Here is a 24,642-nt window from a genome sequence, read left to right as displayed (position 1 = left end):
GGACCACACAACCTTGTGCCACAAAGTGGAATTCCCAGGCCAGAGGGAGATGTTTTATTGCCATATTATGATTCTATCATTGAGTGCAAAGGCAGTCTTGTTTCATTTTGGGTTCTTCCTTATGTTTATATCTTACTTATAAGGGCACATTGAATTTCCAAGCATATAAGAATTTTTGGTTAGCTTTTTATCGTTGACTTCTAGCACAATTATATGATCAGAAACGTGATTTGATTCCTCTGAAATATATTGAGATTTGCTTGATGAACAAAATAAGTCAGGTTAATTTTTGTAAATGTACCATATGTGCTTAAAATGAATATATCGCCAACATTTATTCCCAAGATACAAGGGTGATGGATAGATGACTACATGAATGTGATGGAGATGGTTTACTATTTGGACCTTCTACATCCTACTGATGTTTTGTTGCTTAGTATATGAATTGCTGAGAGGGGGCTGTGGAGCCTCCCACTCTGCTTGTGTATGAGGTTCTTCCTGCCATCCTGCCATCATTTGTTTTTCATGTTTTGCAGCCAAGACTGACCATGAGGAACACTTGGAGCTCAGGAAGGAAAGATCAGCCCAGAAGCAGGGACAGGGAGCTGGTTGGGGAGGATGAGAAGTCAGAAGGTCTGCGAAGTTTCCAGAGAGGACCTGTCTTTGGGATGGCGCATCAGGGGTTCAGGTGGGGGAGGGGGTGTTGGAAGAATGTGGACATCACATGGAATGCCCACTGTGAGGCACTATGGTACCAGGACCGAGGATTGGTGGAGAGGAAGTATAAAGCCCCAGGGTTGCTAAGGTAGCGCCCAGACAGGAGAAGGTTTGGTAGAAACCAGAGCCCTGGTCTCCCTCCAACTGCTCCTGAGCCTCCTGCTCCCCTGCCCCACTCCTCCTGCTGTTTTGCTGATAGACTTTTTCACTGACCTATAGCTGAACCTTCCACCAGCACTTGAAGACTTAGTTTTAACTGGATCCTTTCCCAGGGTTCCTTCTTTTTCTTCCTCCTCCTTCTTCTCCAGCCCCCCACCGCCCTGCTCCTCCAGGCCCCCCACAGTCCCCCTTGCCTTCCCTCCCCTCCCAATCCCTTTCCCTCCCCTCCCCCTCCCCAACTGCAGTCCCACCCCCAGTCCCCATCCCCTTTCCTCCCTTAGCCCTAAACCACCCTCACCTCTGTCCTGGCCTCCTCAGGGGGCCCTGAGAAAACCAGGACATGCGGGTCCAGTGGCTGCTGTTTTGGCTCCTCCTGCTTGGGTTTCCCAGCCATCAATCCACCCATGTGAGTATACGCTGGACCCACAGGGTTTCTTCCTTTTCATCATTGTGCTGTGTCATGCCACGTGAAATTACACAGTTCAAGCCTGTAATCCCAGCACTTTGGAGGGCTGAGGTAGGCAGATCATTTGAGTCCAGGAGTTCAAGACCAGCCTGGACATCTTTGCAAAAAATTTCATAAAAAAATTAGTTGGGCCTAGTGGCGCCTGCCTGTAGCCTCAGATACTGGAGAGACTGAGTTGAGAGAATCACTTGGGCCCAGGAGTTAGAGCCTGCAGTGAGCCCAGATCACCCCACCGCACTTCAGCCTGGGTGACAGAGTGACACCTTGTCTCAAACAAAACAAATCAAAACAAAGTGAAATGTCATTTGAGTTTTGTGCCACATGGTTTGATGAATTTCTAGGAACTTTTTTTTTTGCTGGTGATATCAATTTTATTTTTATTATTACACTGTAAGTTCTGGGTTACCTGCGCAGAATGTGCAGTTTTGTTACATAGGTATACACCTGCCATGGTGGTTTGCTGCACCCATCAACCTGTCACCTACATTAGGTATTTTTCCTAACGTTATCCCTCCCCTAGCTCCCCACCCCCCAACAGGCCCTGGGGTGTGATGTTCCCCTCCTTGTGTCAATGTGTTCTCATTGTTCAACCCCCACTTACGAGTGAGAACATGCAGTGTTTGGTTTTCTGATCTTGTGATAGTTTGCTGAGAATGATGGTTTCCAGCTTCATCCATGTCCCTGCAAAGGACATGAACTCATCCTTTTTTATGACTGCATAGTATTCCATGGTCTATATGTGCCACATTTTCTTCAGTCTATCATTGATGGGCATTTGGGTTGGTTCCAAGTCTTTGCTATTGTGAATAGTGCTGCAATAAACATACGTGTGCATGTGTCTTTATCATAGAATGATTTATAATCCTTTGGGTATATGCCCAGTAATGGGGTTGCTGGGTCAAATGGTATTTCTGGTTCTAGATCCTTGAGGAATCGCTGCACTGTCTTCCACAATGGTTGAACTAATTTACATTCCCACCAACAGTGTAAAAGTGTTCCTATTTCTCCACATCCTCTCCAGCACCTGTTGTTTCCTGATTATTTAATGATCACCATTCTAACTGGTTTGAGATGGTATCTCATTGTGGTTTTGAATTGCATTTCTCTGATGGCCAGTGATGATGAGCATTTTTTCATGTGTCTTTTGGCTGCATAAATGTCTTCTTTTGAGAAATGTCTGTTCATATCCTTTGCCAACTTTTTGATGGGGTTGTTTTTTTCTTGTAAATTTGTTTAGGTTCTTTGTAGATTCTGAATATTAGCCCTTTGTCAGATGAGTAGATTGCAAAATTTTTCTCCCATTCTGTAGGTTGCCCGTTCACTCTGGTGATATTTGCTTTTGCATAGCAAAAGCTCTTTAGTTTAATTAGATTCCATTTGTCAATTTTGGCTTTTGTTGCCATTGCTTTTGGTGTTTTAGACATGAAGTCTTTTCCCATGCCTATGTCCTGAATGGTATTGCCCAGGTTTTCTTCTAGGATTTTTATGGTCCTAGGTCTTACGTTTAAGTCTTTGATCCATCTTGAGTTGATTTTTGTAAAAGGTGTAAGGAAGGGGTCCAGTTTCAGTTTTGTGCATATGGCTAGCCAGTTTTCCCAACACCATTTATTAAATAGGGCATCCCTTCCCCATTGCTTGTGTGTGTCAGGTTTGTCAAAGATCAGATGGTTGTAGCTGTGTGGTGTTATTTCTGAGGCCTCTGTTCTGTTCCATTGGTGTATATATCTGTTTTGGTACCATGCTGTTTTGGTTACTGTAGCCTTGTAGTATAGTTTGAAGTCAGGTAGAATGATGCCTCCAGCTTTGTTCTTCTTGCCCATGATTGTGTTGGATATGCGGGCCGTTTTTTGGTTCCATATGAAGTTTAAAGTAGTTTTTTCCAGTTCTGTGAAGAAAGGCAGTGGTAGCTTGATGGGGATGGCATTGAATCTATAAATTACATTGGACAGTATGGCCATTTTCACGATATTGATTCTATCCATGAACATGGAATGTTTTTCCGTTTGTTTGTGTCCTCTCTTATTTCCTTGAGCAGTGGTTTGTAGATCTTCTTGAAGAGGTCCTTCACATCCCTTGTAAGTTGTATTCCTAAGTATTTTGTTCTCTTAGTAGCAATTGTGAATGGGAGTTGACTCATGATTTGGCTCTCTGTTTGGTGTATAGGAATGCTTGTGATTTTTGCACATTGATTTTGTTTCCTGAGACTTTGCTGAAGCTGTTTATCAGCTTAAGGAGGTTTTGGGCTGTAACGATGGGATTTTCTAAATACACAGTCATGTCATCTGCAAACAGGGACAATTTGACTTCCTCTCTTCTTATTTCAATATCCTGTATTGCTTTCTCTTGGCCGATTGCCCTGGAGAGAACTTCCAATACTATGTTGAATAGGAGTGATGAGAGAGGACATCCTTGTCTTGTGCTGATTTTCAAAGGGAATGCTTCCAGTTTTTACCCATTCTGTATGATATTGGCTGTGGGTTTGTCATAAATAACTCATATTATTTTGAGATATGTTCCATCAATACCCAGCTTATTGAGAGTTTTTAGCATGAAGTGGTGTTGAATTTTATTGAAGGCCTTTTCTGCATCTGTTGAGATAACCATGTGGTTTTTGTCATTGGTTCTGTTTTTTTTTTTTTTTTGAGGTGTGGAGTGGGAAATCAGGAGTCTCACAGCCTTCAGAGCTGAGAGCCTCGAACAGAGATTTACCCACTTATTTATTTATTTTATTTATTTGTGTATTTATTTTTTTTATTTTTTATTATTATACCATAAGTTCTAGGGTACATGTGCACAACGTGCTGGTTTGTTACATATGTATACATGTGCCATGTTGGTGTGCTGCACCCATTAACTCGTCATTTACATTAGGTATATCTTCTAATGCTATCCCTCCCCCCACCCCATGACAGGCTCTGGTGTGTGATGTACCCCATCCTGTGTCCAAGCGTTCTCATTGTTCAATTCCCACCTATGAGTGAGAACACACGGTGTTTGGTTTTCTGTCCTTGAGATAGTTTGCTCAGAATGCTGGTTTCCAGCTTCATCCATGTCCCTATAAAGGACACGAACTCATCATTTTTTATGGCTGCATAGTATTCCATGTTGTATATGTGCCACATTTTCTTAATCCATTCTATCACTGATGGGCTTGGGTTGGTTCCAATTCTTTGCTATTGTGAATAGTACTGCAATAAACATACATGTGCATGTGTCTTTATAGCAGCATGATTTATAATACTTTGGGTATATACCCAGTAATGGGATGGCTGGGTCAAATGGTATTTCTAGTTCTAGATCCTTGAGGAATCACCACACTGACTTCCACAATGGTTGAACTAGTTTACAGTCCCACCAACAGTGTAAAAGTGTTCCTATTTCTCCACATCCTCTCCAGCACCTGTTGTTTCCTGACTTTTTAATGATTGCCATTCTAACTGGTGTGAGATGGTATCTCACTGTGGTTTTGATTTGCATTTCTCTGATGGCCAGTGATGATGAGCATTTTTTCATGTGTCTTTTGGCTGCATAAACGTCTTCTTTTGAGAAGTGTCTGTTCATATGCCCACTTTTTGATGGGGTTGTTTTTTTCTTGTAAATTTGTTTAGGTTCTTTGTAGGTTCTGAATATTAGCCCTTTGTCAGATGAGTAGATTGCAAAATTTTTCTCCTATTCTTTAGGTTGCCTGTTCACTCTGATGGTAGTTTCTTTTGCTGTGCAGAAACTCTTTAATTTAATTAGATCCCATTTGTCAATTTTGGCTTTTGTTGCCATTGCTTTTGGTGTCTTAGACATGAAGTCCTTGTCCATGCCTATGTCCTGAATGGTATTGCCTAGGTTTTCTTCTAGGACTTTTATGGTTTTAGGTCTAACATTTAAGTCTTGAATCCATCTTGAATTAATTTTTGTGTAAGGTATAAGGAAGGGATCCAGTTTCAGCTTTCTACATATGGCTAGCCAGTTTTCCCAGAACCATTTATTAAATAGGGAATCCTTTCCCCATTGCTTGTTTTTGTCAGGTTTGTCAAAGATCACATGGTTGTGGATGTGTGGTATTCTTTCTGAGGGCTCTGTTCTGTTGCATTGGTCTGTATCTCTGTTTTGGTACCAGTACCATGCTGTTTTGGTACCAGTACCATGCTGTTTGTTTTGGTTACTGTAGCCTTGTAGTATAGTTTGAAGTCAGGTAGCATGATGCCTCCAGCTTTGTTCTTTTGGCTTATGATTGACTTGGCAATGCGGGCTGTTGTTTGGTTCCATATGAACTTTAAAGTAGTTTTTTTCTCAATTCTGTGAAGAAAGTCATTGGTAGCTTGATGGGGATGGCATTGAATCTATAAATTACCTTGGGCAGTATGGCCATTTTCACGACATTGATTCTTCCTGTGCATGAGCATGGAATGTTCTTCCATTTGTTTGCGTCCTCTTTTATTTCGTTGAGTAGTGGTTTGTAGTTCTCCTTGAAGAGGAGACTTGGAACCAACCCAGATGTCCATAAATGATAGACTGGATTAAGAAAATGTGGCACATATACACCATGGAATACTATGCAGCCATAAAAAATGATGAGTTCATGTCCTTTGTAGGGACATGGATGAAGCTGCAAGCCATCATTCTCTGCAATCTATCGCAAGGACAAAAAGCCAAACACCACATGTTCTCACTCATAGGTGGGAATTGATCAATGAAAACACATGGACACAGGAAGGGGAACATCACACAATGGGGCCTGTTGTGGGGTGGGGGGAGGGGGAGGGATAGCATTAGGAGATATACCTAATGTAAATGGCGAGTTAATGGGTGCGGCACACCAACATGCCACATTTATACATACGTAACAAACCTGCATGTTGTGCACGTGTACCCTAAAACTTAAAGTATAATAAAAATAAAAAATAAAAAAATAAAATCTTATATGTAAAAATAAAAAAGAACAAGAGAAGTAAGAGCTAACAAATTCAAAAGATAGCAGAAGGCAAGAAATAACTAAGATCAGAGCAGAACTGAAGGAGAGAGAGACACAATAATCCCTTCAAAAAAATCAATGAATCCAGGAGCTGGTTTTTTGAAAAGATCAACAGAATGGACAGACTGCTAGCAAGACTAATAAAGAAGAAAAAAGAGAAGAATCAAATAGATGCAATAAAAAATCATAAGGGGGATATCACCACTGATCCCACAGAAATACATATTGCCATCAGAGAACACTGTAAACACCTCTACACAAATAAACTAGAAAATCTAGAAGAAATGGATAAATTCCTGGACATAAACATCCTCCCCAGACTAAACCAGGAAGAAGTTGAATTTCTGAATAGACCAATAACAGGCTCTGAAATTGAGGCAATTATTAATATCCTACCAACCCAAAAGAGCCCAGCACCAGATGGATTAACAGCCGAATTCTACCAGAGGTACAAAGAGGAGTTGGTACCATTCCTTTGGAAACTATTCCAATCAATAGAAAAGAGGGAACCCTCCCTAACTCATTTTATGAGACCAGCATCATCCTGATATCAAAGCCTGGCAGAGACACAATAAAAAAAAGAGAATTTTAGACCAATATCCCTGATGACCATGAATGTGAAAATCCTCAATACAATACTAGCAAATTGAATCCAGCAGCACATCAACAAGCTTATCCCGCATGATCAAGTGGGCTTCATCCCTGGGATTCAAGGCTGGATCAACATACACAAATCAGTGAACATAATCCATCACATAAACAGAACCATCGACAAAAACCACATGATTATCTCAATAGATGCAGAAAAGGCCTTTGACAAAATTCAACACCATTTCATGCTAAAAACTCTCAATAAACTAGGTATTGATGGAATGCATCTCCAAATAATATGAGCTGTTTATGACAAACCCACAGCCAATATCATACTGAATGGGCAAAAACTGGATTCATTCCCTTTGAAAACTGGCACAAGACAGGGATGCCCTCTCTCACCACTCCTATTCAACATAGTGTTAGAAGTTCTGGCCAGAGCAATCAGGCAAGAGAAAGAAATAAAGGGTATTCAATTAGGAAAAGAGGAAGTCAAATTGTCCCTGTTTGCAGATGACATGATTGTATATTTAAAAACCCTATCATTTCAGCCCCAAATCCCCCTAAGCTAATAAGCAAAGTCTCAGGATACAAAATCAATATGCAAAAATCACAAGCATTCCTATACACCAATAACAGACAAACAGCGAGCCAAATCATGAGTGAACTCCCATTCACAATAGCTACGAAGAGAATAAAATACCTAGGAATCCAACTTACAAGGGATGTGAAGGACCTCTTCAAGGAGAACTACAAACCACTGCTCAAAGAAATAAAAGAGGACACAAAAAAATGAAAGAACATTCCATGCTCATGGGTAGGAAGAATCAATATTGTGAAAATGGCCATACTGCACAAGGTAATTTATAGATTCAATGGCATCCCCATCAAGGTACCACTCACTGCCTTTCTTTACAGGATTGGGAAAAAACTACTTTAAAGTTCATATAGAACCAAAAAAGAGCCCGCATAGCCAAGTCAATCCTAAGCAAAAGAAACAAACTGGGAGGTATCATGCTACCTGACTTCAAACTATACTACAAGGCTACAGTAACCAAAACAGCATGGTACTGGTACCAAAACAGATATATAGAGCAATGGTACAGAATGGAGGCCTCAGAAATAACACCACACAGCTACAACCATCTGATCTTTTACAAACCTGACACACACAAGCAATGGGGAAAAGATTCTCTATTTAATAAGAACACTTTTACACTGTTGGTGAAAGTGTAAATTAATTCAACCATTGTGGAAGACAGTGTGGCGACTCCTAAGGGATCTAGAGCTAGAAATACCATTTGACCCAGCGATCCCATTACTGGATATACAACCAAAGGATTATAAATCATACTACTAGAAAGACACATGCACACGTATGTTTATTGCAGCACTATTCACAATAGCAAAGACTTGGAACCAACCCAAATGTCCATCAATGATAGACCAAAACTGAACATTTGCAATGCCCTTTTCTCTGTCAGGCTGAATGAAAGGCTAAACTCTTTGCATTAATCATAAGTTGGGTACCTTTGGTGTTAGAATTCAGTTTTAATTAGTTTCAGTTAATTCACTTCATTGTCCTGAGAGGAGAATCATGCCCCTTTCCGCATCAGGGCTTGAGATATAAGCACCTGAGACTTTTTGTTTGCTTTCCAGCTGAGCTTCCAGCTTTTCATACTAAGGAGATCTCTTCTTCCAGCCCACCCTGTTTATAGCATGTTTATTTGTAATAGCTCAAACTCAGAAACAACCTAGAGGTTCTTCAGTGAGTGAATGGTTAAACTAATTGTGGTACATGTATACCATACTGACCAATGAAAAGTAACGAATTATTGATACAGGCAACAACTTTGAGGAATCACAAAGAATTATGATGAGTAAAAAATATTATCCAAGAGATTAGATACTGTATGTTTCCATTTATATGACATTCCTTAAGTGACAAAATTATAGAAGTGGAAACAGATTATGAATTTTCTAGGGTCTAAGAATAGGGTGGAGGGTGAAGGGGGGAGCATGGGTGTGGCTATAAAGGGGCTGCATAAGGAATCCTCGTGGTGATGGAATTGTTCTATGTCTTCACTATCAATTTAAATGTCCTGATAGTGATATTATAGTATATTTTTGCAAGATGTTATTGAGAGGGACTGGGCAAAGAGTACATGAGATTTCTGTGTATTACTTCTGATAACTGCATATAAATATACAATTACCTCCAATAATTTGGTTAAAAGGTAAGAAAATATGGATTGTTAAAATAACTGAACTAGGCATGCAAATAATTTAATAGAAATTTTACGATTACACATAGGTCTCTTGTCTTTACTTCATTACTTAACTAATATAAATTCCCTAAGAATAATATATGCATGCCAAGCACAGCATTGGCTACTAATTTGTCATTTTCATTCCCACTTTTGTAATTCTACATCAATTTACTTTGAAATTATGAAATCACTTTCACCCTGAAGAGGAGACCCCAAGACAAAACAATAAAAGAAGGCAGAACATTAATTTTGGTCTCACGACCAGTAGTCGAAATTTTCAGTGTAGATGGGAAGAGTATGGTGCAGACACTAGCAGCCATGTTCTCAGGTGGATTGCCAGGTAGGTTAGAAGATTGATAGACAGAGTCTGTGGTCCTGAGAAGTGTCTCTGTCTTGATGATACCCATGCGATTTTTCTTACAATCTACTTTTATCATGTACTTATACTTATACTAGGCCTACTGTGATGATTAATTTTATGTCAGCTTGACTTGACTAAAGCATGCCCAGATAGCTGGTGAAAGGTTATTACTGGGTATCTCTGTGAGGGTATTTTGTTGTTGTTGTTGTTGTTATACTTTAAGTTCTAGGGTACATATGCACAACGTGCAGGCTTGTTACATAGGTATACATGTGCCATGTTGGTTTGCTCCACCCATTAACTCGTCATTTACTTTACGTATTTCTCCTAATGCTATCCCTCCTCCTGCCCCCCACCCCACCACAGGCCCCAGTGTGTGATGTTCCTCACCCTCTGTCCAAGTGTTCTCATTGTTCAATTCCCACCTATGAGTGAGAACATGCAGTGTTTGGTTTTCTGTCTTTGTGATAGTTTGCTGAAAATGATGGTTTCCAGCTTCATCCATGTCCCTGCAAAGGACATGAACTCATCCTTTTTAATGGCTGCATAGTATTCCACGGTCTATATGTGCCACATTTTCTTTGTCCAGTCTATCATTGATGGGCATTTGGGTTGGTTCCAAGTCTTTGCTATTGTAAATAGTGCCACAATAAACATATGTGTACAGATGTCTTATAGAATGATTTATAATCCTTTGGTTATATATTCAATAATGGGATTGCTAGGTCAAATGGTATTTCTGGTTCAAGATCCTTGAAGAAACACCACACTGTCTTCCACAATGGTTGAACTAATTTACACTCCTACCAACAGTGTAAAGGCATTCCTATTTCTCCACATCCTCTCCAGCATGTGTTGTTTCCTGACTTTTTAGTGATCACGATTCTAACTGGTGTGAGACAGTATCTCATTGTGGTTTTGATTTGCATTTCTCTAATGACTAGTGATGATGAGCTTTTTTTCATGTTTGTTGGCTGCATAAATGTCTTCTTTTGAGAAGCGTCTCTTCATATCCTTCACCCACTTTTTGATGGGGTTGTTTGCTTTTTTATTGTAAATTTGTTTAAGTTCTTTATAGATTCTGGATATCAGCCCTTTGTCAGATAGATAGATTGCAAACATTTTTTCCCATTCTGTAGGCTGCCTGTTCACTCTGATGATAGTTTCTTTTGCTGTGCAGAACCCCTTTAGTTTAATTCGATCCCATTTGTCAGTTTTGGCTTTTGTTGCCATTGCTTTTGGTGTTTTAGTCATGAAGTCTTTGATCATGCCTATGTCCTGAATGGTATTGCCTAGGTTTTCTTCTAGGGTTTTTATGGTTTCGGTCTTACATTTAAGTCTTTAATCCATCTTGAGTTAATTTTTGTATAAGATATAGGGAAGGGGTCCAGTTTCAGTTTTCTGCATAAGGCTAGCCAGTTTTCCCAACACCATTTATTAAATAGAGAATCCTTTCCACCATTGCTTGTTTTTGTAAATGGTTGTAGATGTGTGGTGTTATTTCTGAGGCCTCTGTTCTGTTCCATTAGTCTATGTATCTATTTTGGTACCAACACCATGCTCTTTTGGTTACTGTAGCTTTGTAGTATAGTTTGAAAACAGCATGATGCCTCCGGCTTTGTTCTTTTTGCTTACGATTGTCCTGGCTACAGTCTGGGCTCTTTTTTGGTTCCATATGAAATTTAAAGTAGTTTTTTCCAATCCTGTGAAGAAAGTCATTGATAGTTTGATGGGGATAGCATTGAATCTACAAATCACTTTGGGCAGTATGGCCATTTTCATGATATTGATTCTTCCTATCCATGAGCATGGAATGTTTTTCCATTTATTTCTGTCCTCTCTTACTACCTGGAGAAGTGGTTTCTAGTTCTACTCGATAGTTCTCCTCGAAGAGGTCCTTCACATCCCTTGCAAGTTGTATTCCTAAGTGTTTTTTTCTCTTTGTAGCAACTGTGAATGGGAGTTCACTCATGATTTGGCTCCCTGTTTGCCCGTTATTGGTATATAGGAATGCTTGTAATTTTTGCACATTGATGTTGTATCCTGAGACTTTGCTAAAGTTGCTTATCAGCTTAAGGAGATTTTGGGCTGAGATGATGGGGTTTTCTAAATATACAATCATGTCATCTGCAAACAGACAATTTGACTTCCTCTTTTCCTGTTTGAATACCCTTTATTTATTTCTCTTGCCTGATTGCCCTGGGTAGAGCTTCCAATACTTTATTGAGTAGGAGTGGTGAGAGAGGGCATCCTTGTCCTGTGCCGGTTTTCAAAGGGAATGCTTCTAGTTTTTGCCTATTCAGTATGATATTGGCTGTGGGTTTGTCATAAATAGCTCTTATTATTTTGAGATACATTCCATCAATACTTAGCTTATTGAGAGTTGTTAGCATGAAGGACTGTTGAATTTTGTCAAAGGCCTTTTCTGCAACTATGAGATAATCACGTGGCTTTTGTCATTGGTTCTGTTTATGTGATGGATTATGTTTATTGATTTGTTGTTGATTGTATGTTGATCCAGCCTTGAATCCCAGGCATGAAGCTGACTTGATTGTAGTGGATAGGCTTGTTGATGTGCTGCTGGATTCAATTTGCCAGTATTTTATTGAGGATTTTTGCATCTATGTTGATCAGGGATACTGGCCTGAAATTTTCTTTTTTGTTGTTGTTTCTCTGCTCGGCTTTAGTATCAGGATGATACTGGCCTCATAAAATCAGTTAGGGAGGATTTTCTCTTATTCTATTGTTTGGAATAGTTTCAGAAGGAATGGTACCAGGTCCTCTGGTGTACCTCTGATAGAATTTGGCTGTGAATCCGTCTGGTCCTGGACTTTTTTTGGTTGGTAGGCAATTAATTACTGCCTCAATTTCAGAACTTGTTATTGCTGTATTCAGGGATTCAACTTCTTCCTGGTTAAGACTTGAGAGGGTGTATGTGTCCAGAAATTTGTGCATTTATTCTAGATTTTCTAGTTTGTTTGTGTAGAGGTGTTTGTAGTATTCTATGATGGTAGTTTGTATTTCTGTGGGATCACTAGTGATATCTCCTGTATCTTTTTTTTGTTTGTTTTTTGTTTTCCTTAAGCTTTTTAAAAAAATTATACTTTAAGTTTTAGGGTACATGGGCACAAAGTGCAGGATTGTTACATATGCATACATGTGCCATGTTGGTGTGCTGCACCCATTAATTCGTCATTTACATTAGGTATACCTCCTAATGCTATCCCTCCCCACTCCCCCCACCCCACGACAGGCCCCAGTGTGTGATGTTTCCCTTCCTGTGTCCATGTGTTCTCATTGTTCAGTTCCCACCTATGAGTGAGAACATGCGGTGTTTGGTTTTTTGTCCTTGTGATAGTTTGCTGAGAATGATGGTTTCCAGCTTCATCCATGTCCCTACAAAGGCATGAACTCATCATTTTTTATGGCTGCATAGTATTCCATGGGGTGTATATGTGCCACATTTTCTTAATCCAGTCTATCATTGTTGGACATTTGGCTTGGTTCCAAGTCTTTGCTATTGGGTATAGTGCCGCAATAAACGTACGTGTGCATGTGTCTTTATAGCAGTATGTTTTATCATCCTTTGCGTGTATACCCAGTAATGGGATGGCTGGGTCAAATGGTATTTCTAGTTCTAGATCCCTGAGGAACGGCCACACTGACTACCACAACGGTTGAACTAGTTTACAGTCCTACCAACAGTGTAAAAGTGTTCCTATTTCTCCACATCCTCTCCAGCACCTATTGTTTCCTGATTTTTTAATGATCACCATTCTAACTGGTGTGAGATGATATCTCATTGTGGTTTTGATTTGCATTTCTCTGATGGCCAGTGATGACGAGCATTTTTTTCATGTGTTTTTTGGCTGCATAAATGTCTTCTTTTGAGAAGTGTCTGTTCACATCCTTTGCCCACTTTTTGAAGGGGTTTTTTTTTTTCTTGTAAATTTGTTTGAGTTCTTTGTAGATTCTGGTTATTAGCCCTTTGTCAGATGAGCAGATTGCAAAAATTTTCTCCCATTCTGTAGGTTGCCTGTTCACTCTGATGGTAGTTTCTTTTGCTGTGCAGAAGCTCTTTATTTTAATTAGATCCCATTTGTCAATTTTGGCTTTTGTTGCCATTGTTTTTGGTGTTTTAGACATGAAGTCCTTGCCCATGCCTATGTCCTGAGTGGTATTGCCTAGGTTTTCTTCTAGGGTTTTTAAGGTTTTAGGTCTAACATTTAAGTCTTTAATCCATCTTGAATTAATTTTTGTATAAGGTGTAAGGAAGGGATCCAGTTTCAGCTTTCTACATATGGCTAGCCAGTTTTCCCAGCACCATTTATCAAATAGGGAATCCTTTTCCCATTGCTTGTTTTTCTCAGGTTTGTCAAAGATGAGATAGTTGTAGATATGTGGCATTATTTCTGAGGGCTCTGGTCTGTTCCATTGGTCTATATCTCTGTTTTGGTACCAGTACCATGCTGTTTTGGTTACTGTAGCCTTGTAGTATAGTTTGAAGTCAGGTAGCGTGATGCCTCCAGCTTTGTTCTTTTGGCTGAGGATTGACTTGGCAATGTGGGCTCTTTTTTGGTTCCATATGAACTTTAAAGTAGTTTTTTCCAATTCTGTGAAGAAAGTCATGTGTAGCTTGATGGGGATGGCATTGAATCTGTAAATTACCTTGGGCAGTATGGCCATTTTCACGATATTGATTCTTCCTACCCATGAGCATGGAATGTTCTTCCATTTGTTTGTATCCTCTTTTATTTCCTTGAGCAGTGGTTTGTAGTTCTCCTTGAAGAGGTCCTTCACATCCCTTGTAAGTTGGATTCCTAGGTATTTTATTCTCTTTGAAGCAATTTTGAATGGGAGTTCACTCATGATTTGGCTCTCTGTTTCTCTGTTATTGGTGTATAAGAATGCTTGTGATTTTTGCACATTGATTTTGTATCCTGAGACTTTGCTGAAGGTGCCTATCAGCTTAAGGAGATTTTGGGCTGAGATGATGGGGTTTTCTAGCTATACAATCATGTCATCTGCAAACAGGGACAATTTGACTTCCTCTTTTCCTAATTGAATCCCCTTTATTACCTTCTCCTGCCTGATTGCCCTGGGCAGAACTTCCAACACTTTGTTGAACAGGAGTGGTGAGAGAGGGCATCCCTGTCTTGTGCCAGTTTTCAAAGGGAATGCATCCAGTTTTTGCCCATTCAGTATGATATTGGCTGTGTGTTTGTCATAGATAGCTCTTATTATTTTGAGATACTTCCCATCAATACCTAATTTATTGAGAGTTTTTAGCATGAAGGGTTGTTGAATTTTGTCAAAGTCCTTTTCTGCATCTATTGAGATAATCATGTGGTTTATGTCTTTGGTTCTGTTTACATGCTGGATTACGTTTATTGATTTGTGTATGTTGAACCAGCCTTGCATCCCAGGGATGTAGCCCACTTGATCATGGTGGATAAGCTTCTTGACGTGCTGCTGGATTCGGTTTGCCAGTATTATATTGAGGATTTTTGCATCGATTTTCTTCAGGGATATTGGTCTAAAATTCTCTTTTTTTGTTGTGTCTCTGCCAGGCTTTGCTATCAGGATGATGCTGGCCTCATCAAATGAGTTAGGGAGGATTCCCCTTTTTTCTATTGATTGGAATAGTTTCAGAAGGAATGGTACCAGTTCCTCCTTGTACCTCTGGTAGAATTCGGCTGTGAATCCATCTGGTCCTGGACTTTTTTTGGTTGGTAAGCTATTAATTATTGCCTCCATTTCAGAGCCTGCTATTGTTCTATTCAGAGATTCAACTTCTTCCTGGTTTAGTCTTGGGAGGGTGTATGTGTGGATGAATTTATCCATTTCTTCTAGATTTTCAAGTTTATTTGCGTAGAGGTGTTTATAGTGTTCTCTGATGGCACTATGTATTTCTGTGGGATCATTGGTGATATCCCCTTTATCATTTTTTATTGCGTGTATTTGATTCTTCTCTTTCTTCTTTATTAGTCTTTATTAGTCTTGCTAGAAGACTATCAATTTTGTTGATCTTTTCAAAAAACCAGCTCCTGGATTCATTGATTTCTTGAAGGGTTTTTTGTGTCTGTATCTCCTTCAGTTCTGCTCTGATCTTAGTTATTTCTTGCCTTCTGCTAGCTTTTGAATGTGATTGCTCTTGCTTCTCTAGTTCTTTTAATTGTGATGTTAGGGTGTCAATTTTAGATCTTTCCTGCTTTCTCTTGTGAGCATTTAGTGCTATAAATTACCCTCTACACACTGCTTTGAATGTGTCCCAGAGATTCTGGTATGTTGTGTCTTTGTTCTCACTGGTTTCAAAGAACATCTTTATTTCTGCCTTCATTTCGTTATGTACCCAGTAGTAATTCAGGAGCAGGTTGTTCAGTTTCCATGTAGTTGAGCGGTTTTGAGTGAGTTTCTTTTTTTTTTTAATTAATCACATATTTTTTATTATGACAGAGGCTCCTTCAGAGTTATTCAAATGTGTCGCAACCTTGACCATAGAGGAGCAGCAGCTTTAGGGCCTTTAATTCCAATTGCACAGTCTCTGTTTTTGAATTTTGTTTTTTTTAGGGAGAAAAACTTTTTTTTAAAATTTATTTATTTATTTATTTATTATTATACCTTAAGTTTTAGGGTACATGTGCACAATGTGCAGGTTAGTTACATATGTATACATGGGCCATGCTGGTGCGCTGCACCCACTAACTCGTCATCTAGCATTAGGTATATCTCCCAGTGCTATCCCTCCCTCCTTCCCCCAACCCACAACAGTCCCCAGAGTGTGATGTTCCCCTTCCTGTGTCCATGTGTTCTCATTGTTCAGTTCCCAAGTATGAGTGAGAATATGCGGTGTTTGGTTTTTTGTTCTTGCGATAGTTTACTGAGAATGATGATTTCCAGTTTCATCCATGTCCCTACAAAGGACATGAACTCATCATTTTTTATGGCTGCGTAGTATTCCATGGTGTATATGTGCCACATTTTCTTAATCTAGTCTATCATTGTTGGACATTTGGCTTGGTTCCAAGTCTTTGCTATTGTGAATAATGCCGCAATAAACATACGTGTGCATGTGTCTTTATAGCAGCATGATTTATAGTCCTTTGGGTATATACCCAGTAATGGGATGGCTGGGTCAAATGGTATTTCTAGTTCTAGATCCCTGAGGAATCGCCACACTGACTTCCACAGTGGTTGAACTAGTTTACAGTCCCACCAACAGTGTAAAGGTGTTCCTATTTCTCCACATCGTCTCCAGCACCTGTTGTTTCCTGACTTTTTAATGATTGCCATTCTAACTGGTGTGAGATGGTATCTCATTGTGGTTTTGATTGGCATTTCTCTGATGGCCAGTGATGGTGAGCATTTTTTCATGTGTTTTTTGGCTGCATAAATGTCTTCTTTTGAGAAGTGTCTGTTCATGTCCTTCGTCCACTTTTTGATGGGGTTGTTTGTTTTTTTCTTGTAAATTTGTTTGAGTTCATTGTAGATTCTGGATATTAGCCCTTTGTCAGAGGAGTAGGTTGAGAAAATTTTCTCCCATTTTGTAGGTTGCCTGTTCACTCTGATGGTGGTTTCTTTTGCTGTGCAGAAGCTCTTTAGTTTAATTAGATCCCATTTGTCAATTTTGGCTTTTGTTGCCATTGCTTTTGGTGTTTTAGACATGAAGTCCTTGCCCATGCCTATGTCCTGAATGGTACTGCCTAGGTTTTCTTCTAGGGTTTTTATGGTTTTAGGTCTAACGTTTAAGTCTTTAATCCATCTTGAATTGATTTTTGTATAAGGTGTAAGGAAGGGATCCAGTTTCAGCTTTCTACATATGGCTAGCCAGTTTTCCCAGCACCATTTATTAAATAGGGAATCCTTTCCCCATTTCTTGTTTTTCTCAGCTTTGTCAAAGATGAGATAGTTGTAGATATGCAGTGTTATTTCTGAGGGCTCTGTTCTGTTCCATTGATCTATATCTCTGTTTTGGTACCAGTACCATGCTGTTTTGGTTACTGTAGCCTTGTAGTATAGTTTGAAGTCAGGTAGTGTGATGCCTCCAGCTTTGTTCTTTTGGCTTAGGATTGACTTGGCGATGTGGGCTCTTTTTTGGTTCCATATGAACTTTAAAGTAGTTTTTTCCAATTCTGTGAAGAAAGTCATGTGTAGCTTGATGGAGATGGCATTGAATCTGTAAATTACCTTGGGCAGTATGGCCATTTTCACGATATTGATTCTTCCTACCCATGAGCATGGAATGTTCTTCCATTTGTTTGTATCCTCTTTTATTTCCTTGAGCAGTGGTTTGTAGTTCTCCTTGAAGAGGTCCTTCACATCCCTTGTAAGTTGGATTCCTAGGTATTTTATTCTCTTTGAAGCAGTTGTGAATGGGAGTTCACTCATGATTTGGCTCTCTGTTTGTCTGTTGTTGGTGTATAAGAATGCTTGTGATTTTTGTACATTGATTTTGTATCCTGAGACTTTGCTGAAGTTGCTTATCAGCTTAAGGAGATTTTGGGCTGAGACAATGGGGTTTTCTAGATATACAAGCATGTCGTCTGCAAACAGGGACAATTTGACTTCCTCTTTTCCTGATTGAATACCCTTTATTTCCTTCTCCTGCCTGATTGCCCTGGGCAGAACTTCCAACACTATGTTGAATAGGAGTGGTGAGAGAGGGCATCCCTGTCTTGTGCCAGTTTTCAAAGGGAATGCTTCCAGTTTGTGCCCATTCAGTATGATATTGGCTGTGTGTTTGTCATAGATAGCTCTTATTATTTTGAAATACGTCCCATCAGTACCTAATTTATTGAGAGTTTTTAGCATGAAGGGTTGTTGAATTTTGTCAAAGTCCTTTTCTGCATCTATTGAGATAATCATGTGGTTTTTGTCTTTGGTTCTGTTTATATGCTGGATTACATTTATTGATTTGCATATATTGAACCAGCCTTGCATCCCAGGGATGAAGCCCACTTGATCATGGTGGATAAGCTTTTTGATGTGCTGCTGGATTCAGTTTGCCAGTATTTTATTGAGGATTTTTGCATCAATGTTCATCAAGGATATTGGTCTAAAACTCTCTTTTTTGGTTGTGTCTCTGCCCGGCTCTGGTATCAGCATGATGCTGGCCTCATCAAATGAGTTAGGGAGGATTCCCTCTTTTTCTATTGATTGGAATAGTTTCAGAAGGAATGGTACCAGTTCCTCCTTGTACCTCTGGTAGAATTTGGCTGTGAATCCTTCTGGTCCTGGACTCTTTTTGGTTGGTAAGCTATTGATTATTGCCACAATTTCAGCTCCTGTTATTGTTATATTCAGAGATTCAACTTCTTCCTGGTTTAGTCTTGGGAGAGTGTATGTGTCGAGGAATTTATCCGTTTCTTCTAGATTTTCTAGTTTATTTGCGTAGAGGTGTTTGTAGTATTCTCTGATGGTAGTTTGTGTTTCTGTGGGATTGGTGGTGATATCCCCTTTATCATTTTTTATTGCATCGATTTGATTTTTCTCTCTTTTTTTTTTTTTTTAGTCTTGCTAGTGGTCTATCAATTTTGTTGATCCTTTCAAAAAATCAGCTCCTGGATTCCTTAATTTTTTGAAGGGTTTTTTGTGTCTCTATTTCCTTCTATTCTGCTCTGATTTTAGTTATTTCTTGCCTTCTGCTAGCTTTTGAATGTGTTTGCTCTTGCTTTTCTAGTTCTTTTAATTGTGATGTTAGGGTGTCAATTTTGGATCTTTCCTGCTTTCTCTTGTGAGCATTTAGTGCTATAAATTTCCCTCTACACACTGCTTTGAATGTGTCCCAGAGATTCTGTTATGTTGTGTCTTTGTTCTCGTTGGTTTCAAAGAACATCTTTATTTCTGCCTTCATTTCGTTATGTACCCAGTAGTCATTCAGGAGCAGGTTGTTCAGTTTCCATGTATTTGAGCGGTTTTGAGTGAGTTTCTTAATTCTGAGTCCTAATTTGATTGCACTGTGGTCTGAGAGATAGTTTGTTATAATTTCTGTTCTTTTACATTCGCTGAGAAGAGCTTTACTTCCAAGTATGTGGTCAATTTTGGTATAGGTGTGGTGTGGTGCAGGAAAAAATGTATATTCTGTTGATTTGGGGTGGGGAGTTCTGTAGATGTCTATTAGGTCCGCTTGGTGCAGAGTTGAGTTCAATTCCTGGGTATCATTATTAACTTTCTGTCTCGTTGATCTGTCTACTGTTGACAGTGGGGTGTTAAAGTCTCCTATTATTAATGTGTGGGAGTCTAAGTCTCTTTGTGGGTCACTCAGGACTTGCTTTATGAATCTGGGTGCTCCTGTATTAGGTGCATATATATTTAGGATAGTTAGCTCTTCCTGTTGAATTGATCCCTTTACCATTATGTAATGGCCTTCTTTGTCTCTTTTGATCTTTGTTGGTTTAAAGTCTGTTTTATCAGAGACTAGGTATGCAACCCTTGCCTTTTTTTGTTTTCCATTTGCTTGGTAGATCTTCCTCCATCCTTTTATTTTGAGCCTGTGTGTGTCTCTGCACGTGTGATGGGTTTCCTGAATACAGCACACTGATGGGTCTTGACTCTTTATCCCATTTGCCAGTCTGTGTCTTTTAATTGGAGCATTTAGTCCATTTACATTTAAGGTTAATATTGATATGTGTGAATTTGATCCTGTCATTATGATGTTAGCTGGTTATTTTGCTCGTTAGTTGATACAGTTTCTTCCTAGTCTCGATGGTCTTTACATTTTGGCATGATTTTGCAGCGGCTGGTACTGGTTGTTCCTTTCCATGTTTAGCGCTTCCTTCAGGAGGTCTTTTAGGGCAGGCCTGGTGGTGACAAAATCTCTCAGCATTTGTTTGTCTGTAAAGTATTTTATTTCTCCTTCACTTATGAAGCTTAGTTTGTCTGGATATGAAATTCTGGGTTCAAAATTCTTTTCTTTAAGAATGTTGAATATTGGCCACCACTCTCTTCTGGCTTGTAGGGTTTCTGCCGAGAGATCCGCTGTTAGTCTGATGGGCTTCCCTTTTTGGGTAACCCGACATTTCTCTCTGGCCGCCCTTAATATTTTTTCCTTCATTTCAACTTTGGTGAATCTGACAATTATGTGTCTTGGAGTTGCTCTTCTCGAGGAGTATCTTTGTGGCGTTCTCTGTATTTCCTGAATCTGAATGTTGGCCTGACTTGCTAGATTGGGGAAGTTCTCCTGGATGATATCCTGCAGAGTGTTTTCCAACTTGGTTCCATTCTCCCCATCACTTTCAGGTACACCAATCAGACGCAGATTTGGTCTTTTCACATAGTCCCATATTTCTTGGAGGCTTTGCTTGTTTCTTTTTATTCTTTTTTCTCTAAACTTCCCTTCTCACTTCATTTCATTCACTTCATCTTCCATCGCCAATACCCTTTCTTCCAGTTGATCACATTGGCTCCTGAGGCTTCTGCATTCTTCACGTAGTTCTCGAGCCTTGGCTTTCAGTTCCATCAGCTCCTTTAAGCACTTCTCTGTATTGGTTATTCTAGTTATACATTCTTCTAAGCTTTTTTCAAAGTTTTCAACTTCTTTGCCTTTGGTTTGAATTTCCTCCCGTAGCTAGGACTAATTTGATCATCTGAAGCCTTATTCTCTCAGCTCGTCAAAGTCATTCTCCATCCAGCTTTGCTCCATTGCTGGTGAGGAACTGTGTTCCTTTGGAGGAGGAGAGGTGCTCTGCTTTTTAGAGTTTCCAGTTTTTGTGATCTGTTTTTTCCCCATCTTTTTGGTTTTATCTACTTTTGGTCTTTGATGATGGTGATGTACAGATGGGTTTTTGGTGTGGATGTCCTTTCTGTTTGTTAGTTTTCCTTCTAACAGACAGGACCCTCAGCTGCAGGTCCGTTGGAGTTTGCTAGAGGTCCACTCCAGACCTTGTTTGCCTGGGTATCAGCAGCAGTGTCTGCAGAACTGCGGATTTTCTTGACCGGGAATGCTGCTGTCTGATCGTTCCTGTGGAATTTTTGTCTCAGAGGAGTACCCAGCCATGTGAGGTGTCAGTCCGCCCCTACTGGGGGGTGCCTTCCAGTTAGGCTCCTCAGGGGTCGGCGGTCAGGGGCCCACTTGAGGAGGCAGTCTGCCCGTTCTCAGATCTCCAGCTGTGTGCTGGGAGAACCACTGCGCTCCTCAAAGCTGTCAGACAGGGACATTTAAGTCTGCAGAGGTTACTGCTTTTTGTTTGTCTGTGTCCCGCCCCCAGAGGTGGAGCCTACAGAGGCAGGCAGGCCTCCTTGAGCTGTGGTGGGCTCCACCCAGTTGGAGCTTCCCGGCTGCTTTGTTTACCTAAGGGAGCCTGGGCAATGGTGGGCACCCCTCCCCCAGCCTCACTGCCGCCTTGCAGTTTGATCTCAGACTGCTGTGCTAGGAATCAGTGAGATTCCATGGGCGTAGGACCATCCAAGCCATGTGTGGGATATAATCTCCTGGTGTGCCATTTCCTAAGCCCGTTGGAAAAGTGCTGTATTCAGGTGGGAGTGGCCTGATCTTCCAGGTGCCGTCTGTCACCCCTTTCCTTGACCAGGAAAGGGAACTCCCTGATCCCTTGTGCTTCCCGAGTGAGGCAATGCCTCGCCCTGCTTCAGCTGGTGCACGGTGCACTGAACCCACTGTCCTGCGCCCACTGTCTGGCACTCCCTAGTGAGATGAACCTGGTACCTCAGATGGAAATGCAGAAATCACCCGTCTTCTGCTTTGCTCATGCTGGGAGCTGTAGACTGGAGCTGTTCCTATTTGGCCATCTTCAGGGATTTCTTTTCTGACGTCTAATCACATTTTCCCGTTCCCTCAAAATGCATTGAACATCCAATCTTCATTAAGGAGAGTTGCTTGGGTCATTGCATAAGTATATCTGCTATTATTAATATTCTGTAATACTTCTTTTATTGATGGCTACACATACTAATAATTAGTGCTGAGTTTTTAATATGTTATCATTATAAAACAGAGAAAAAGGATTACCATATCATAATTCAGATTCATTTCTTCTGTGAATATTCTAAATGAAAAGTGTTACTAATTGCTAGCCCATTCTCAAATTTTTCCTCTTTTTTGCATAATGGAAGAAAGAAATGAAACAGAGTATCAACCATGCTGTCCCTCATAATGATACTCATAGAGAGGGACAAAGGGAAAGAGGGTGGGGAAGCTTTCTTGGCTGCGTGTTATCTAGAGTTTCTCAAGATTTGGATTTGAGAGAGAAGGTCTGTCAAACAGCAAAACTAACCTTTAGGGAAATATTAAAAGTATAAGTGACAGCTAGGAATGAACATTAAGTGTCAGAATTCATGCCCTTGCTTTGGTGTTACTGTCCACACTAAATACAAATTTGAAATATTATTTTTACTTCATGTTTCCAACTTAGAATCAAGTATAAATATATGCTCTCAAATTGCTATTCATGTGTTCTGAATGTTATTCTTCTCTCCCCAAACAAGAACAATATCTCTGCAAAGCCTCAGTAGATTATATTATTTTTCTAATTTCTACCTCATTGTTTTACACTTATCATTAATGTGATGATAATTTGATTCTATGGCCCTGAAGTAATTAGCCTCATTTTATCTCCAAAATATACACAATTGAACGTCTAGTACACATCAAATTCTAGTCATCCATTCCCATTCCTTCTATCTTCAAGTTTATGAAATGAGAACAGACATCAGTGATTACTCTTTGTGAGCTTATCTTCCAGAGGGAGCCAATTTGTCATGCATTTTAAGCTAATATATAAGCGTATTGATGTACATATAAGTACATATGTATCTATACACATATGACTGCATAAATATATATTCACTCATTATGTATAATATATACACACAAATACGTATGCTATTAAGTGTGGTTCTTTATAAAATTTGGCTCATATTACATGTATTTTCTACAACTTGATGTTTTTCTAGTAAACAATATACCAGGAACTACCCCAATATAATAAAAACATGGAAAAATGATTCTAATGAACCACATCGGAAAAGAAAATGGAAATGGTTATTAAACATGAAAGTAGCTTAAAAACAAAAAAATATATATTATATATCTTTTCAACATTCTTGATTGGAAAATGAAAACGTGTTCATGTAAGCATTGGTCAGGTGTGGGCAAACAGGCACTCTTGTACATTTATGTAGAAGGTCAACTTCTCAATGAGGCATACATTGAGTACCTTATATTGAAATTTGTACTCTTCCCTCCATCAGCACCTTTCCCCATCAGTCAACTTTTGGTTCCCTTTACACATTTTTTTTGGAATTTTGCATGTTTTGTGTTAATCTTTCTTATAAACCTAGGAGGTATGTAGAATTTGTGTTAGTTTCCATGAGTACTATAACAAATTAGAACAAACTTAGTGGTTTAAAATAATGCAAATGACTATCTTACAGTTCTGAAGTTCGAAGATCCAATATCAGTTTCACTGGTCTAAGATCAAGGTGTTGAGCAAGGCTGTTTCCTTGAGAGAATTTATTTCTCTGCATTTTTGTTTTTGCTTCTAGAGACTGCCAACATTCCTCAGCTCATGAGTCCTTTGCTTGGGGTATCACATCTTCTACTATCCACTCTTATCCTCTTATTTCCCTCTTATAAGGATCAATGTGATTACATTGGGCCCACCTGGATAATCTAGTGTAATTTACCCATGTCATATCCTTAGCATAATACATTTGGAGTGTTTCTTTTACCATGTAAAGTAACAAATTTATAGGTTCACATGTTGCTAGGATTAGGACATGGCATCTTTTGTTGGGGGATGAAGTTATTATTCAGCCTATCACACTACTGTTATACCCATTTTATCACCAGATAACTGAGATGATGTTTTGTTATGAATCTTGCTCAAGGTCAGACAGATTTTAAGTTCAGAGACTGCAATTGAACCAAGCCTAACTGACTGAAAAGTGGAGTTGCTAATCACCTTGCTATTAACTCTTTTTCCCCCAATTTTGTGCCAAGATAAAATACCCATAAATAAAATTCACTATCTTAAACATTTTTAAGTGTACAGTGTTTTTATGGTTTGGCTCTGTTTCCCCATCCAAATCTCATGTTGAATTGTAATCACGTGTAGAGGGAAGGAGGTGATTGGATCATGGGGACAGTTTCTCCCAT

The 24,642-nt window shown here is 39.6% G+C and overlaps 1 long non-coding RNA gene across 1 annotated transcript in view; it reads left to right on the top strand.

Annotated features, from left to right (window-relative positions):
* LOC107984257 (uncharacterized) overlaps positions 1-24,642 on the top strand; it is a 125,247-nt gene that overhangs the window by 59,116 nt on the left and 41,489 nt on the right. The window contains exons 5-6 of the long non-coding RNA XR_007062253.1: positions 537-633; positions 1,195-1,282. This is a non-coding gene — a long non-coding RNA (uncharacterized LOC107984257). The remainder of the gene's footprint in view (positions 1-536; positions 634-1,194; positions 1,283-24,642) is intronic.

This window comes from Homo sapiens, chromosome 10, assembly GCF_000001405.40.
Source record: "Homo sapiens chromosome 10, GRCh38.p14 Primary Assembly".
NCBI classification, from domain to species: Eukaryota; Metazoa; Chordata; class Mammalia; order Primates; family Hominidae; genus Homo; species Homo sapiens.
This window is presented reverse-complemented; position numbering and strand designations above follow the sequence as displayed.